This window comes from Homo sapiens, chromosome X (genome assembly GCF_000001405.40).
Source record: "Homo sapiens chromosome X, GRCh38.p14 Primary Assembly".
Lineage (NCBI taxonomy): Eukaryota > Metazoa > Chordata > Mammalia > Primates > Hominidae > Homo > Homo sapiens.
Window position 1 is genome coordinate 89,436,740 of NC_000023.11, and position 18,764 is coordinate 89,455,503.

The 18,764-nt window shown below is 32.6% G+C and overlaps 1 long non-coding RNA gene across 2 annotated transcripts in view; it reads left to right on the top strand.

Annotated features, from left to right (window-relative positions):
• Nucleotides 1–18,515, top strand: part of LOC102724150 (uncharacterized) — a 52,126-nt gene extending 33,611 nt beyond the window's left edge. For both annotated transcript variants that reach the window (XR_001755912.1, XR_938461.2), the window contains 2 exons: nucleotides 4,950–5,011; nucleotides 18,478–18,515. This is a non-coding gene — a long non-coding RNA (uncharacterized LOC102724150). The remainder of the gene's footprint in view (nucleotides 1–4,949; nucleotides 5,012–18,477) is intronic.
• Nucleotides 18,516–18,764: the final 249 nt, after the last annotated feature.

The following is an 18,764-nucleotide window of genomic DNA, read 5'->3' on the forward strand; positions in this document are numbered from 1 at the left end:
AAAAAAAAACCCTAAGTAAAAGTGGAGAAATATGCATATTATATTAAAGTATTAGAAAAAGTAAACTAATAGGCAATAAATTATTCTAAGTGAGATCAATTGCAAAATAAAATTTATGAAGAGAAAAGCCCACAATTACAATGAAAAACAGAGTAACAGAAAAACACTCAACAAAGCAAATAAAAGTAAAATTAATTATTCTTTGAACTGACTTTATACAAATTTGAGTAAAATGATTAATTTATAAGAAAATTATAATTACCAATAAATTGACTCAAGAAGCAGTAGAAAAGCTAATCAGATGAGTATTATATACAATATTGAGTACATTTTCAAAGGGTTATACTATGAATTTTTTCTGGCCCAGAAAATTTTGCAGGCAGTTTTTGCAGTATGTTTAAGAACAGATAATTTTGTTGCTATTTAGCTATTCCTAAGTATAGAGAACAAAGAAAAAAATTATGCTTTTTTTTCAAGATTCAAGAATAAGTGAAATATGCTTAGCACACTGGTAGTGTGCTACTTTGTTTATTTTCATTATTACTAAATCATCATAACATTGTAACCAATGTCTGACAAAGACAGATCTAGGAGAAAATAAGCATACCAATTCACCTCACTGATAGACACTGACACACACATTTTTGATAATATGTAACTGCATTGCCTCCTGTAATACATGCATAAAAATTACATCATGATCAATTAAGATTAACCTGGGAATGCAGAGATCATAGAGTCATAGTTTTATCTATTTTAGCTAATTCACCATTTTGATAAAAATGAAAAATGATCTTAATAAATGATAAAAGTAAATTTGATATAATTAACAACTAATTTTCTAATCACAACATTTAAGTAAATAAGCCCCCCAAATTAATTTCTCTGTGCAAATATCAAAGACTAACTAAACTTACAAAATTTGCATTTGATTATATTTAGAAGGTATTATCCAACAAACTAATGTACTTACTGCTTGGAAAAAGCAAGTCTCTGTGATTCTGGAATACCTGTCAGTCAGCTCTGAGATTACTTTCTTATGTTAAGAAATACTTGTCTATCAACTGTGAGATTACTTTCCTTTGCTTCTTAATCCTATGTATTTTATTTTGGCATTTAAAATTAGTATTCTGTGAAGGGATCCATTTTTTTTTTTACTGACAAAGAGGTGCACAGAACAAAAAAAAATGAGTAAATATAGCTCCTGTTTGGCAGCCTCCTTTGTATGGCTTTAGCTCTAACCATTGTTAGAGCTAATGGTCTCAATATCACCATTTCTTCCTTTTTGTCCCTTGAGAGCCAATGGTTACAAGGACTTCTTTCTGTTGCTAGTTACCAGATGCCTCAATCTGCCTCATTGGTTCTCTTAATCTTGCCATAATTTGCGGAATAGTCCTTTCCTTAAATATTCTTCAATTCCAGGCTTAGCAGGTCTTCTGTTTCCTTTGAAGATAAGTAGCAAATATATTATCCTGCCTTTATGGACAGAATTTTTGCATAGGCAGAATAGGCAAGGGAGTTAGCTTTATAAAGTTTGATGAGAATTGTGTCAATACAGAGCTCCTTTGCTAAATATATGTGACTTGCATAATGAAATACTAAAATCCTCTACTAACTTCTTTTAGATATCATACTCTACAGATGTCCCTCATTTTAAAATTCAGATGTTCTCTGGAGGTCTAACATATTCAGTTCCTTAAAAAGAAATATTATTTTTCTTTATTAACCAGACGTGCTGCTCCTTTGCCTGTGAAGTCCTGAGTACTGAAAGAGGTTCAAGTAATACGGAAAAAATGATGTTATTTTAAAAGGCAAACATCCTCTTCTGTCTACTTTTCCATTTTGTCATGGGCCATCTATGACATCACTTATAAAGGAAATACAAGAAGTAATATTTCTGCACTTTGAGTTTTAGTGAGTAAATCAAAAATTGTACACATTCAAATCCTATACAGTACAAGCATTTATTAGTGTTATACTCCTATATTCTTGTTTCTGCTTGTGCCTGGGTGCAGGAGAAATTGCAAAACATTGGGAGTGATGTCTTATTTATGTACTATCCTCTGGAGCATCATCATTGTCTGCTAGAATGACTTATCACAATTGGTCTGTGGTGCCACCCTCTGTCCCTACCTTAACTACTTTGTTGCAACTGAGCTTGTCCTAAATTTTGGACATATGCTAACTTTGACTGCTGACATTTCTGGAATGTGCAGTGGCCTGTATTCATAAGAATCACAGACTTTGAACCTTCTTTGTCATAAGCCCGGGCCTATTTTGGCCATCAGTTCTCTCAACGCTCTTACACCTTCCCATTAGGTAGGGCATGCAGAAATTTCTGGTTCTACTCCATGGCCCATTGGGACAATGTGAAACAGAGAAATAAATCATCTTAGATACTCTATTTACCAGAACATAAAATATATTCAACTGTACTCCATTGAACTATCTCATGTTGGCATGTAACATACTGTAATGATGTCTTCCTCCAGAGTTGCAAATAACAAGTGATACAGAAACACATTTTGTTTGTTTGTTTTCTTCACTTACACTCTCAATCTTATAATTCTATCTATCCATATGCCCAGTGCCCAGGGGGCCTAATACTGCCTCCTTTAAATATTTCCGTCATCATCTCATGTCCACGTAGTATTCTTTTTGCCTCCCTTCATTGTGGACACTGCCCTTGAATGATACCTTGTGTTTTCAAATATATAAGAGAGAAGGGAGAGTACAGTAGGGGCTGAAAATAGAGAGTTCTGAAGTAATACCTTTTAACTTGCTATTAGGACTCTTAACTTTACATTGTGTGGAATAAAAAGCATTGGAAAGTTTTGAGCAGTGGAGAGGTATGACAAAACATTTTAGAAGAATCAGTATGGCTGCCACACTGAGAATAGATCATAGCGTGGTGGTGGCCAAAACAGAGACTAATTAGAGGCTATTGCCATAACACAGGTGACAGATACTGGCTTGGAGCAAAGCTGTAGCAGCTGAAGGGGTGAAAAGTGTCGAGTTTTATATGATTTTTTTTTCATGGAAGAGATGACAGTGTTTTCTTGTGGGCTGGAAGTAGGGCTTAAGAGAAAGGCTTTAAGAATAATTAAAAAGAGACTGCTGACTGCTTGCCATTTTCTTTCTTAATAACAAATTATCCTTATTATTGGAGGTGGGAATATTTTCAAGTTATAAAAGAAGGAAGAGAAGGAGGAGGGGAAGAAGGAAGAGGAGAAAGAGAATTCATTTCTCAGCTTCTCTTTCAAATGAAAGTAGCCAAGAAAATGCAACGATAAAATTGCCTGGTGGAGCTTTTGGGAATGCACTTTAAAATGAGTTGCTTAGCTAGAATGTTTACTTTATTGTACTCATCTTTTCTTTTTAAAAATTTTTTTGTTTTTAAAATTTTATGTAGGTACATAGTAGAGGTCCATCTTCATGGTGTACATGAGATACTCTGATACAGGCATGCAACGTGAAATATGCACATTATATAGCATGTACTCATCTTTTGTTCCTTTCTGCTATCTGGAATATGGACTAAAATACCAAGATGTTTGCAAATGATGCATTTTAAGCCCTAAACTGGTAACAGTGGTTGTCTATATCTAAAATATTTGTCAAATAGGAAAAAATCATTCTTATGTTTAAACCACTGTAATCAGGTCTCCATTACTTGTATTTTAGCTTAAATTCTAAGTAAAACAAATGAATTCAAGATTTTTGTTCTTAGCAGATCTAATGATGGCACTGCCATTTACTGAGAAGGAGAAAGCAGTTGGGAGGAGCAGATTTTGAGGGAAAACCAGGAGCTCAGTTTTGCATGCGTTAAGTTTTTGATGCCCATTAGATATCTATGTACAAATTTTTAGTAGGTATCTGGCCATATGAGTCTGGAGATCATGGAGTCTTAGAAATAATTATATGAAATGCCTGATACCTGTGAGCGATGTCTAAAGCCAGTACAAACTTTATAATTTCCCAAATGCTATTGATATATTTAAAACAGAGTTTATTTCAAATCATCGTCTTTATTTTTTTGTATAATCAGAAAAATATTAGTTCATAATTAATGTATAAAAATGGGTAAATATCCTTTCTGCTTTGTTTTCTCTTACCACAATGGCATCACAATGAAGATTTACTAAATTAAATAAAGTTGATTTCAGCTAACATCTTCAAATCTTTGTAATATCCTGGATGCCAATGTATTTAAGTCAACTTGGACAAAACTATATTCAGTATAATAAATAAAATACTAATAAGATCACTAATTCTATTATGTAATTACAATTTATTTGTGACAATGTTCATTAGTACCAAAATAGTTATATATGTAAACACACACACACACACACGTATGTATATACATATTTGTTTTTGTATTTAAAAATATGTGAGCAACAAAGAACAAAAATATTAATAGTTCTATCAAAACACTAAGAGAAAATATTTCTATATTCATGACCATTGATTAACATGACTAGCTAATCCATACATGCTTGAGATTTAGGAATATATCAAAAAAACAAATAGTAATAAATATGAAAATTATTACCCATTGAAGCCATCCAACCTAAGCAGCAATCTTAGTACTGGCTGATCCTGCATTGTTACAAAAGTATGGGTGATTATATTTCCAAAGATTCTTTTCCTATAAAAACCTTGTTCTGCACAAGCAGAATATCAAAATTTCTATTCACATTTTACCACTATAGTTGTATTTTTTTACTCACACTGTAGTTACTTAGAGGAAAATTAGTACCATAAACTTATACTTTTATTATCTTATGGCATTCTCCTCATTTTTGATCCTGCATTTATGAGCTTACATTCAGCCAGGAGCTTATTATTATCCATTTATAAGCAGCCAATAAAATAGTAAATTATACATTTGAAAGCCGGGCTTACTGAGATTTTAAAAGTCACTGCATTTATTTTCTTTTCTGTAGTAGAAATGTGCTACAACCACTCAAGGTCTGCAAACAGATTCCTATTTAGATGTTGTTGAGAGGTAAGTACAACTAGTTCTCATTAATATTTCATGTCTTATGTGCCATACTTACACTGCCATTTTGTAGTCATTTGTCCTACAGCTAAAGATTAATTTATAATCAGATACGTGAAATCTGATATGTGCATTAAGCTTGATTATACCTGACTGTGTCTTCACGAAGATAATTGTAAGTGACATATTAATTAATTTGCAAGTGTGTTCGTTTTACATTACATATAGTATCACAGACAACATTACACATATGATAATTTGCCATTAGTCCTAAATATTAATAATATGATTTCTCAATGAGTCTGAAACATTTTCAAGATACTAGAAATTTGTGACAGATGCCTTTTACATCTATGAGAATCCAGAATATTATTCTTTAAAATGCATTTTCTCATAAATAGCTCATTAACTTTCTCATTGTTCTCAGTTGTAAATCTGTAAAAAGCAATTTTGTTCCCTTGTCTGTAATAAGAAATCTTTTGCACTCATTAAGATAATTAAAGCATTACTAGTGTGCATGCTCACTATATTCAAAACATTTTCTACTTGATATGAGTTGTCATGGCATTATCAAGACCGGAGGGGGCGGAAAGAAAAAAATAAAATAGCGTCAGCCTATGGTTATGCTCTTTGAATTTGAATATGATTAAGTGCATCTTTAATTTGTTTCTGAGTCGTAGTTTAAAATAAAAACTGGAGAGCATTTTGTAGGAGCAATACTGCCCTTTTGTTCAATTTCCTTCTTTTAATTCAACAGAACACTTAATAAAATCATACATTTTAGAAAGTTTTGGAAATTTTTTTGGTCTTTTTATTACAGTTAGGTAGGGGTTTTATTTCCTCATGTGTTTGCTTTATTTTGCTTGGGTAAAGAAATGTTTTCAAATTTAGTTTATGTCTTTACATTATACATGTAGTCCAGGATGTTAGCTGGTAACAAAATTATCAAAGCAAAATAGGTGTTTATGCTATGGGTTCCTTGATCTCCTACTCTTAGGCTTTTTGAGACACATTCACTTTTACCATTTTGATCTTTTAAATTTTTTTTATTTTTAATTTTTGTGGGCACATAGTAGGGCATATATTTACGAGGCACGTGAGTGATTTTGATACTGGCATACAATGCATTATAATCACATCAGGTTAAATGGAGTATCCATCACCTCAAGCATTTATCATTTCTTTGTATTACAATCTAATTCTACACTTCTAGTTATTTTTCAATGTATAATAAATTAGCATTGACTATAGTCACCCTGATGTGCTATGACATGCTAGATCTTATTCATTCTATCCAACTATTTTTTGCACCCATTAACCATAGTCACTCTGCCCCAATCTTCCCACTACCCTTCCCAGTCTCTGGTACCCATCCTTCTACTCTTTATCTCTATGAGTTTAAAGGTTTTAATTTTTAGCTCCCACAGATAAATGAGAACATGCAAAGTTTTTCTTGCTGACCTGGCTTATTCACTTAACCTAATGACCTCCAGTTCCATCTATGTTGCAAATGACAGGATATCATTCTTCACATTTCATTCACAAATGGTATGACAAGCTGTAGTAGACAGAAATTATTTTTTGGTTTAATCTCACATGCCCATTTTATCTTTATGGGGAACTAAACTATTTTTCTGGGAACTACTCCTTTCCCCACCTTAATCCCTATAGGTGTTTTGTTTTGTTTTGCTACAACTCTTATTATGTTATCTTACTTATTTTATGCCTGTTGCTCCATCCAGGTGTGGGCAGTTTATCTTATTGAGCGAATCATTTCTTCAATGAACACTTTATTAATTATACAGAAAAGTATGAGTGATTCCAACTTAAGAAGTTTTAAATTGTGGTGATGTCAGCTCTATTAATAGGCTAATAAAAACTTTTAAGATTAGGCCTGGTCATGGGAATACGTTTTCAGGAATCGTTTCATGAAAAAACACACAAAAATGTTTTACTTATGGTTCTGTATTCGTCAAAATTCTCCAGAGACACAGAATCAAAAGATAAATAGATATAAAGATAGATAGGTGATAGATGGATAGATAGATAGATAGATAGATGGATGATAGATAGATAGATAGGAAAATAAATATATGTGAGGGGTTAATAGGGGAATTGGCTCAAATTATTATGGAAGCTGAGATGTCCCACACTAGATCATCTGTAAGCTGAAGAACCAGAGAAACTACTAGCATGCTCAGTCCAATTTGGAAGGTCTAAGAACCGAGAAAGCCAACGATGGAAGTCTCAATCTGAGTCCAATGGCAGGAGAGCCCCAGTAGACTGCAAGTGCAATTCCCAGAGTCAAATGGCAGAACAACCTAGAGTTTTGATGCTCAAGGGCAGCAGAAGGGTGTGCTACTCCAAAAGAGAGAAAGATATAATTGACCCTTCTACCCTTTTTTGTTTAATAAGAGCCCTTAGCCAATTGGATGGTGTTTGCCCATGTTGAGGGTGGAATTTCCCCACTTAGTTGACTGGCTCACATACCAGTTCTTCTCCAAAAACACCCTTACAGACAAATCCAGAAACAATGTTTTATTAGTCATCTAGGCATCCTTCAATCCAGTCAACAACTAAAATTAACTATCACAGGTGTCCACTGGTTTTTCTCTTCTATTTTCAATGACTCTTGATTGTGAGTTACAGAAAATGAAATTAAGCACAAATCAAAGTGTACTGGAAGAATCCCAGGGACCTTATAAAATAATAAAAATATGGAAGGAGAAAAAAAACAAAGGATGGCCAGTGATTTGATTATCACCAGAGTTTTTTTATCCCTTGTCTTTATTTCTTTCTAAATGTCCAATGTTTTATTTTGTTTTGTATTTTAAATTGTGTTTATTTTTAATTTTTGTGAATACATGGTAGGTATATATATTTATGGGTCACATGGGATATTTTGATACAGGCATGCAAAAATGCATAATAATCACATCAGGGTAAATGGGGTTTCCTTCGACTCAAGCATTTATCCTTTGTGCTACAAACAATGCAATTATATTAGGGAGCTAAACATTAAAATAATTGGACTCATGTTCAGTATTTTTGTCTCTCTCCCCTCAGAATGACTGTCTATCTTGAGAAAAAAAAAAAAAAAAAAAACATGCTTAAACCGTATACCATATCTTGTTTTTGTAGGCATCCAGAGAGATAGGCTCTTAAAGATACACAAACCCTACTTTTAAAATATTAGAGAAGAATTGAAGGAAAGATTGACCACCTGCTGTAGGGGAGAAAAAAGTGATATGTTTTCCTCTCCCATCACAAGGGTGTTCATAGCCAACACCCCTATAACAAAAGACAGATTAACAAGAGAAAATCATCATTTATTTATTTAACCAAAGTTTTATGTGACATGAGAGCCTTCATAAATCAATGCAAACCAAAAAACCTAGAGAAAATGGTGTATTTTTATGCTGAGTATGAAGAAAAAAGTCGATAGTTGTGAAAAAACATGATTAGGAAAAAAAGAGTATAATCTAATGACATTATATAAACTGAGATAAACTTCAGCAAGGACTGTTTGTTCAGATTATTTCCTGCATCTCTGTATGATATTTCTTCCCCTAGAGTATGGAGCAGGACCCCTGTTCCATGAGGATCATTAGGGGAGAAGCGAGATCAGAGAGTCACAACCAAGGTGTCATTTTTTCAATGTAGTACTTTCTAAGCCTTGACACAGTCATGAGTGTGATCTTTCAGAATTATGTGGCAAATCAAGCAATTGGCAAGCTTTTAATGAAAACTAAAGGAGCTTTGAGGATATAAAAAAGATATAGATAAAAACAAGTTATAGAATTTATCAAAAATGATTTCAGAGGAAAATATGATAGTGGTCCTGCTTATCTGTGGGGGATAGGTTCCAAAATACCTAGTGGATGCCTGAAACTACTGTTAATACTGAACCCTATATGTAGTATGTTTTTTCCTGTGCACACATCTATGATGATATTTAATTTATAAATTAGACGCAATAAGATATTAACACTAACTGATAAAATAGAAGTCATAATAATATAATATACTGTAATTAAAGTTATGTGAATGTAGTTCTCTCTCTCTCTTTCTCTCTCTCTCAAAATATCTTATTTATCTGAAAATATCTTATTGTATGTAATATGTTCACACTGCAGTTGATGGTGGGTAACTGAAACCCCAGAAAGTGAAAACAAGGGTAATGGAAGACTACTGTACCTTAGAGATAGATTAGTGTTAAATATGTGCCAACATAGAAAATTGTCTCATTTACACAAATTCAATATAGTATTTTCTCTTAAAGCAAAAGGAGCTAATAATATTTTCTGTAGTGACTACTGCTTCTTAATAGTGTAGCTTCTTTTTTTTGATAACCATTTTTCTTAGAGCTATCTGAAGACACTATTCAAGTAGTGTAACAAAGCAAAAAGCAAATGTGTATGCTCTGTTAAAAGACAATGAAAGTTATACAGAAGAGCTCCTTTTATAACAAATAATTTTGCATAACATAACTACTCTTAAAGCAATACTAATCATACAAAACTTCTATTATTGATTTATAAGCATGACAAATAGCCATTATACTTTTTGATGTTTTTGCTATCTTCTTTTGGATTTTATTTTCTGTTCATGTTTTGTAAGGTATGTTTTCTGTCATTTTAATTACTTTTAACAAAATCACATCCGGGTGCACTTTTTATTAAATAAGCATTTAGTTCTGGTCTCTGCCTCAAAGAGCCGAAGTTGAGTTGTAATATTTGCTTTAATGTTCAAGTTTTTACCTTGTAGGATAGTGATGAGTTCTGGGTTTGTGTAGTAGACAGAATAATGCTCTCAAAAGATGCCCACAATCTAATCCCCAAAACCTGTGAATATGTCACCTAGCATGGCAAAAGAGACTTTTGTACATTATATGTTATTTTCATGTCTTTAAGTGTAATTAGCTAAAATATTGTTTAGTTTTCTACTGTTTGTCTTTACCAATGATCAGTTTAACAGTTTTTCTATTATGGAGATTTAGATTGACATCAACATTTGCTATTAATGATTTATTATTTCTTCCTTTCTGAAAGTTGAATTTCTGGAACAAGAGATATAGATTAAGACTGTTGTTACATGTTGCCTACATGACTTTCAAAAGCTTGATTCCCAGTGGCATTCTCAACAGCAGTCATAAACAATGGTAATTCAATGTATATTTATATTCAACTGATATATTAATTGGAATATATTAAAAATACGTATATTTATATTCAGAATATTTATATGGAAAATATGAATATATATGTGTGTGTGTGTGTGTGTGTGTGTGTGTGTGTGTGTGTGTGTGTATCCCATTATTTCCCTAACACTAGATCAGGGCTTTTTAACTATGGTGATTTTACACACCCCTATTCTCCAGAAGACGTGTTATTTATGGAGACATATTCAATGGTCAAAACTGCGTGGATGATGTTAGTAGGCAGATGCCATGGATGCTGTGAAAGGTCCTACAATGCATAGGTCAGCCCCCCACCACAAATAATTATCTAACTCAAAATGCCAATAATCTCCAGATTTAGAAACCCTATTCTTCCTAATGAATAGTCATATTTTACCATCTTTAAAAATTGAGAGCCATGTGACAGAATTATTTTGGCATTCCCTTTCTCAGAAGAATGTTAAACATATTTTGCTCACTCTTTCTGAGTGATTTCACCACAGACACTACTTGCATCTGTTCCCACTTATTTTTTTCGCATCAAACCAAATATAGCAATTTCAAAAACTAGTTACTTTTTCTGAATTAAATAAAATAAAAACATGATTTAAGCTGTGCCTTCAGATTTAAAATAACAGAATGCCTTTTCACATTGACCATAGTATATATGTACATAATACTTTCAAGTATCTTTAAAATTTTCAGAGGTTACTTTTCTGGTAGAAAGTTTTATCTTTATATATGGCTCTGTGTGTGTCTGTGTGTGTGTTTGTGTGTGGTATATGATATACGTATGTGTGTGTGTTGATATGTATGTGACACATAAAATCATATGTAGTTTTAACCATTTAAAAGGATCATAAAACCTACAACCATTTAACAATCATACTATTTTTTAAAAAATAGATGATTATTCATAGTCTTGAAACATTTCATTTACTTTCATGAATCTCATTCCCTTCAACAACCCTGGAAAGAGCAACTTTCCTGGAATCAGCATATATAACATTCTTGATTTTCTTATTAGTTTACTCAACAATATCTGCAAGATACATTCATCCATATTCTTGATATATATGTAGGTTATTTATTTTCACTGCTCTGCAGTTCTCTACCATATGAAAATAGCACAATTATATCGATGTATCCCCTGGCTAGTGGTTATTTTGGTTGCTTCTATTTTTTTGATGTTACAAATAATGATGCTATGAACATTATGTGCACATTTTCTATTGAACATGGGAGTATCTCTTCAGCAGCAATCTTCAAACTTTTTTCTTTAATACAACTGAAAAAAACTATGTCCACTTCACATATGTTTGGGTTGGTGTCTAAATATTTTTATGTAAAAGAATTGCAAAAATATTTAATTTCTAGCATACTATAAATGTGTCTTAAAAATGTGTTTTCCTCAAACCCTTAAAGCTATAGCTTTATCTCATACAATTTGGGAAAATGTCTACTATATACTCTAATTGGCAAAACAGTTCCCACGCTGAGAATCAGCCAAAAATTACTTGCATTACCAATAAGAATAATTTCACTTTTGAACTCCAATAAAGCTTAAGATGCCCATTAAACATCTCATTTTTAAAGATTCCTAGGTAGATACAGTATGCAGATAAATAGATGATTGATAGAGTGATTGATTGAAACAGACAAAAATTTTTGATAGTAGTTTTGTACTTAGGTGAAATAAAGGCAATATTTTTTACACATCTTTTTAGTTTGCTTTCACAATAAAAATCTTCCTCAGAAACTTTGTATGCTCATACTGTTTCCTTGTAGGATGCTCTACAGATTGGTACACTCTAATGTACTATTGTAATGTTCCAGATAGGAGAAATGGCTACCTTTATTTTGTTAAACTGGAGATTGGCAGCTATGACTGAGGACTTGCAAAAGCGGAAACAGGGACTTCTCAGTGAGGTCAATATTTGGAGGAAATATGTATAGAAACTGAAGATCTGTCTGAGTTTACCCCTGAGGTACATTATAGCATACATCAGTTTGAATATTTATTCTTTAATGTACATATTTGGATATGGAGTTGTTTAAGCATCAGCTGTTTGGAAATTCTGCTTTGCCAAGATATTTCTAACTTGCTTTTTAGAACAGTTGTAACATTTTACATTTCCATAGCTCCCTTGGCTTCACATGATTGAGTAATACTTTAAATCAGATTGTATATGTATTACGCAGTGTTTTTAATTTCCTGATTAGTAATGAGATTGTAACTGAACTCAGGTTCAGTTGTTTGCCAATTGAAAGCCAAAACTTGAGAGGCAAGCGTTGGTGGAAGAGAAAAGCAGGTTTATTCAGGAGCTGACAATCCAAGGAGATGGTGGACTTGCATAGCAAAGACCATCTCAAGTTTCTCAGCCTGGACATAGGGGTTTTAAAGGGGAAAGGGCTTGGGAAACTATGTACAGGAGTTAGCTATGCATTTCAGAATGTCTTTTTCCAACGACTATCATGAGGAATGGGCATCAAGAGGTGTAGCTGGCATCATCCAACCTCTAATAAGATTGAAGATTAACTGCTCAGCATTTTTTTTCCATTAAGAACATTTCACAGCCTTGGTTTTATCTTGGGGTTAGTTCTTGGAATTCTTAAGCAAGCACACAGTTAGGTATTGTAAAAGAAAGAATAGTTATTTGTTTCCAAAATGGAATGACTGCGTCGGTTACAAGATGATCACCTTTATATGTTATTGCTATTCAGATTTTCTCTTCCATAAAATACTTGTTTGCATCTTTTGCCTGCAGTTTAATTGGGTGGTTTGACATTTTGGTTTATATGAATTTCTTAATATGTTATGGACATTAATCCTACACTGGTTTTTTATGTTGCAAAGATCTGCTCTCAGAGTGAAAATTATTTTTATGGCATCTTTTGATGATGAAAAGTCCACAATTCAAAATAGATTAATTTATCAATACTTACTAGTTTCTTTTACTTAAGTATGTTATTTCTCTTAAAAATTATCTATATATCAGAAAAATACCTCCATTTATATTCCTGAAAAAATTATTTAAATTTGCCTTTCATATTTAAGTCTCTGATATACTGGAAATTAACTTTTGCATATGTCATGACGGATACACTATTTTGCTTGCTTTATAGTTTCTGGATAAATACTTATCTCAGGGCCACTGACTGACTAGTCTATACTTTTACCTCTATACAATATCTGGTGTTCATATTTTTGCAGGTGTATTTCCTGACTCTCTAACGTGTTATTAGCTTTCAATCCTTGCACTCACACCATGCAGTGTTAATTGCAATTGTTTGATAGTAAATTTTAATCACTGCTGTAGCAAATTTTCATATCTTATTTCTTCTGGGTTACACTTGGCTCTTTGGCCTTTGGTTCCTTGACTGTACTTCCATTTAAAATTTCAGGATTGACTTCAGTTAAAAATAATCTGTAAGAATTGTTCAAATTTAAGCTTGTAATATCAGAAATATTTCACTTTTTGCATTAAATGCATCTCATGATTATTGATATGTAATATTATTTTATTTTCTTCAATTCTAAAGATCACTTATTCCCCACTGGGATTTTTTATTTAGCATTAATTTATGTAGAAAAGTATTTTTAAATTTCCAAGCTTATGATATTGTGAGTTATCTTTGTATTATTTAAAAATTAATAACATTGCAGTTAGAGATTATTATGTGTATGAAATTAATATTGGAAAACCACTGAGAATTGCTCTACTTCCTATTATATTGTTGATTTTCATGAATGTTTCCTGTTTCTTGAAACTGTATATTCGTCAGTTCTTTGGTATAGTGTTCTATGTATACTCATTTGATCATTCTTACTATATGTTACCCAAATATTCTTAATCACAATTTTTACCTGTTTCACCCATCAATTACTGAAAGATATGTTTTTAAATCCTCACTGATGTAGTAACTTTCAGCATATTTTGCACATATACAGATGCTCCTTGATTTATGATAGATTTATGCCCTGATAAACTCATAATAACTCAAAAATTTTGGAAATCACAATGCATTTAATACCCCAGTAAACACATTGTTAGTAAAAAAAAAAATAATAAGTTGAACTATCATAAGTTCAGCTGTTCCTTGACTTACAATGAGGTCACACCCCAATAAACCCATCACAAAGGCAAAAAATCATAAGTTGAACCATAGTTAAGTAGAGGTCATCTGTATATATTTATAACTGTATATCAATATAAACATAGATATAGGTATGTGTGTACATGCATGAATGTATATCATACATATCTGCCAGGTTAGAACTATTATATTAATATCTTCCTGACAAATTGAATAAATGAATAATTCTAGATGTGGAAAGGTTATCATTATAATTAGTTATAACTATAATATTATAATAATACAAAGATCTGAATGAATGGCTTCTCCCAGATAATATTGTATTGAAAGTATATATATACCTTTTAAAAAATGAACATAATTAAGTTGCTCTAATGGAAGAAAAATCACACCTCGTTTTGCACCATGTACATCAATTGACGTTTGATAATAAAGTGCAGATTTCCACACACAGCACACGGCAACACCTTGGTCACCTTATCATTCCATCCAATCTGTGATATTAAGATTGTATATGATCTCCTAAGATTTATTCAACTCATTATATATTCCCCCTGAAAGGAAGTGGGGATGGTAGACTCTCCCATTCATTTCTCTTAATTTTTGCACAGAATGCCCTTCATTGTGATACATACATTGTACTATCCTCCTAGATCATTACATGTGAGATGCAAAAGTTCCTTTTACCCTAATTTCAGTCATTTATAATTTTTAAATTTATTAGTTAAAAGTATAATAGTTATTTCTACTTTTTAGTAGCATTTGAAGATAAGAGACAAATACCTTACCCAGAATTATCTGGATGATTCAGTTAAATTTGTTAACTTTATTATGTGATAGGCCATTGAATTTTCCTGCACTGTAATATGAATTGTGTAGATAAAAACATTTACTCAAATTCAGCTCTAGCCTCACTTATATTTTCTATTCTATTTTATATTTTAAAAAACTAAATGTAATTTCCATAAGAGCTGTATGGAAACACAGCTGCCAGAGAGCATGGCATAATGTGGACAAGTGACACTGGGAGGGAACAGTCAGAAATTAGGTCAGTTTTCCTGTCCAAAAGCTTTGCTGGGGAGAATGAAAATGGGAAACAGAAAAAAGCAGGGGTTGCAATCCTAATTTCAGATAAAACAGACTGTAAACCCACAAAGATCAAAAAAGACAAAGGAGAGTATTACATAGCACTAAAGGGCTCAATTCAACAAGAAGGCCTAACTATCCTAAATATATATGCACCCAAAACAGTGGCACCCAGATTCATAAAGCAAGTTCTTAGAGACCTACAAACTTAGACTGCGACACAATAATAGTGAGAGACTTCAACATTCTACTGATAGCATTAGACAGATCATAGAAGCAAAAAATTAACAAAGATATTCAAGACCTAAGCTCAACAATGGACAAAATGGATCTGATAGACCTTTACAGAACTCTCTAGCCGAAACCAGGATATACATTCTTCTCATTGCCACGTGGCACATACTCAAAAATTGACCACATAATTGGGCATAAAACAATATTCAGCAAATGCAAAATAACTGAAATTATACCAAACAGACTCTTGGATCACAGTGCAATAAAAATAGAAGTCAAGCCTGAAAAAAAAATCACTAAAAACTACGCAATTACATGGAAATTAAACAACATGTTCCTAAATGACTTTTGGATAAATAATGAAATTAAAGGAGAAACCAAGAAGTTCTTTGAAACTAACGCAAAGGTACAACATACCAGAATCCCTGGGACCCCGTTAAGCAGTGTTAAGAAGGAAGTTTATGACACTAAATGCCCACATCAAAAAGTTAGAAAGATATCAGATGAGCAACCGAGCATCACCATTTGAGGAACTAGAGAAATGAGAGCAAACCAACCCCAAAGCTAACAGAAGACCAGAAATACTCAAAATCAGAGCTGAACTGAAGAAAATTAAGACACAAAAACCATACCAACAAATCAACGAATCTAGGAGTTGGTTCTTTGAAAGAATTAATAAAATAGGCTGCTAGCTAGACTAGTAAATAAATAGAGAAATATTAAAACAAATGCAGTCGGAAATGACAAAGGGGACATTATCACTGACCCCACAGAAATACAAAACAAAAACAAAAACAAAAAAAACCCGAAAAACCCTGACACTACTGTGAACACCTCTATGCACACAAACTAGAAAACTTAGAAGAAATGGATAAATTCCTGGAACCCTACGACTTCTCAAGATTGAAGCAGGAAATAATTGAATCCCTGAGCAAACCAATAATTATTTCCAAAATTGAATCAGTAGTAAAAAGCCTATCAACAAGAAAATGCTCAGGACCAGATGGATTCACAGCATAATTCTACAAGATGTGTATATCTGTGTGTGTGTGTGTGTGTGTGTGTATGTAAATAAACTGGTACCATTTCTACTAAAACTATTCCAAAAAATTGAGAACGAGATACTCCTCCCTAACTCATTCTTTGAGACCAGCATCATCCTGATACCAAAACCTGGTAGAGACACAGCAAAAAAAAAACTTCAGGCAAATATCCTTGATGAACATTGACGCAAAAATCCTCAGCAGAATACTAGCAAACCAAATCCAGCAGCACATAAAAAAGCTAATACACCATAATCAAGTAAGCTTTATCCCTAGGATGCATGGTTTGTTCAACATATGCAAATCAATAAATGATATTCACCACATAAGCAGTACTAAAAAAACAAAAATCACATGATTATCTCCACAGATGCAGTAAAGACTTTTGACAAAATTTAACATCTCTTCATGTTAACAACCCTCAACAAACTGGGCATTGAAGAAACATACTCTAAAATAATAAGAACCATCTATGACAAGCCTATAGCAAACATCGTACTGAATGGGCAAAGGCTAGAAGCACTCCCCATGAAAACCGGAACAAGACGAGGATGCCCAATCTCACCACTCCTATTTACCATAATACTGGATGTCCAGGTCAGAGCATTCAGGCAAGAGAAATAAAGAAAATCCATCCAAATAGGAAGAGAAAAAGTCGTACTATCCCTTTTTACCAATGATATAATTCTATACCTTGAAAATCCCATAGTCTCTGCCCAAGAACTCCTTGATCTGATAAACAACTTCATCAAAGTGTCAGGATGCAAAATCAATGTGCAAAAATCAGTAGCATTCCTATACAACAATAACATGCAAGTTTCTAAGCTTACATGGCTCTAGCCATGCCTCTTATTGTTAAAATAATGACTATCCAAAATTTTGTATATATCCTCACTTTATAGATGAATCTATGGACCTTATTTTGGAAAATTTACTTCAGCTTACCATTTTAAAATTGTATACAATTTTATGATTTGTGGTTTTCATTGTGCTTCTAACATTTATCTAGATTGATGCATGAGCCCCATTAATATTACTGTGGTAGTAAAATTCATTGTGTGCATGTACTACAATGTATTTATCTATTCTCTGATTGATCATCATTTGGGTTGTTTTCAGGTTTTGATTATTATACAAATGGTCTCCTGACCATTTGTGTACACGTCACTTGCAAACAGACACACATTTTTGAGATATTCACCTGAGAGTAAGATTCCTCAATTTTAAGCTTTACAAGATAATTCCAATTTGTTTGCTAAGTTGTTTGTACAAGTTACATTTTTATGAAGAGTCTATAGCAGTTTCCTTTAATCTATACATGTCAAGGTGTGTACCTGACATCTTAAAACTTATAATTTTTATGGCTGACTTTTGAACATGCTAAAATATTTCTTTGTAGATTTGATTTACATTTCTCTAATTAGTAGTAGTTCCAGCATTATTTCAGGTATATATTTGCACCTTTTTTTCCTATTTTATGTAACTCCTTTTCCTGTTTTTGTTATTTTTTCCAAAAATTATGTATGTTGTCCCTTTCTTTTTGATTTTCAGGTATTATATAATTTATAGGGATGACTTTTTAAGTGATAAATATTGCAAATATTTTCACCCGCTTTGTGAATTGTCATTTTTGTCTCCTTTTATGGTGTTTATAATAAAAATAATTATTTAATGTAATATAGTCAGTTGCAGCATTTTCTTATGGGTCTAGCTCATGAAATCCATCTCTACTCCCAAAAGCATAAAGATATCTCTATATTTTCTTCTGAAAGTTCTAAAGTTTTGCCTTTTACTTACTTTGTTTTAACTTTTTTTTTTTTTTGGAGACGTAGTTTCGTTCTTGTCGCCCAGGCTGGAGTGTCATTTTAACTTTTAAAACATCCTGTTCTGTTTCATTGGTAAGTACATTTTTTCAAAAGTTTAATTATGCTTCCATAGTTGTGAAGACAGATATACATTTAAAACATAAAAATCAGAACCTCAACAGAACCCCAGAGGTGAGCAGAGTAGGTAGGTCAGGTGTGATGTATATGGCAAATAGAACATCAATGCTGCTTTGGGGGCATGGGGGAATATATACAGTATTGTATTCAGTGTTCTACATGATCAGTGCCAGATT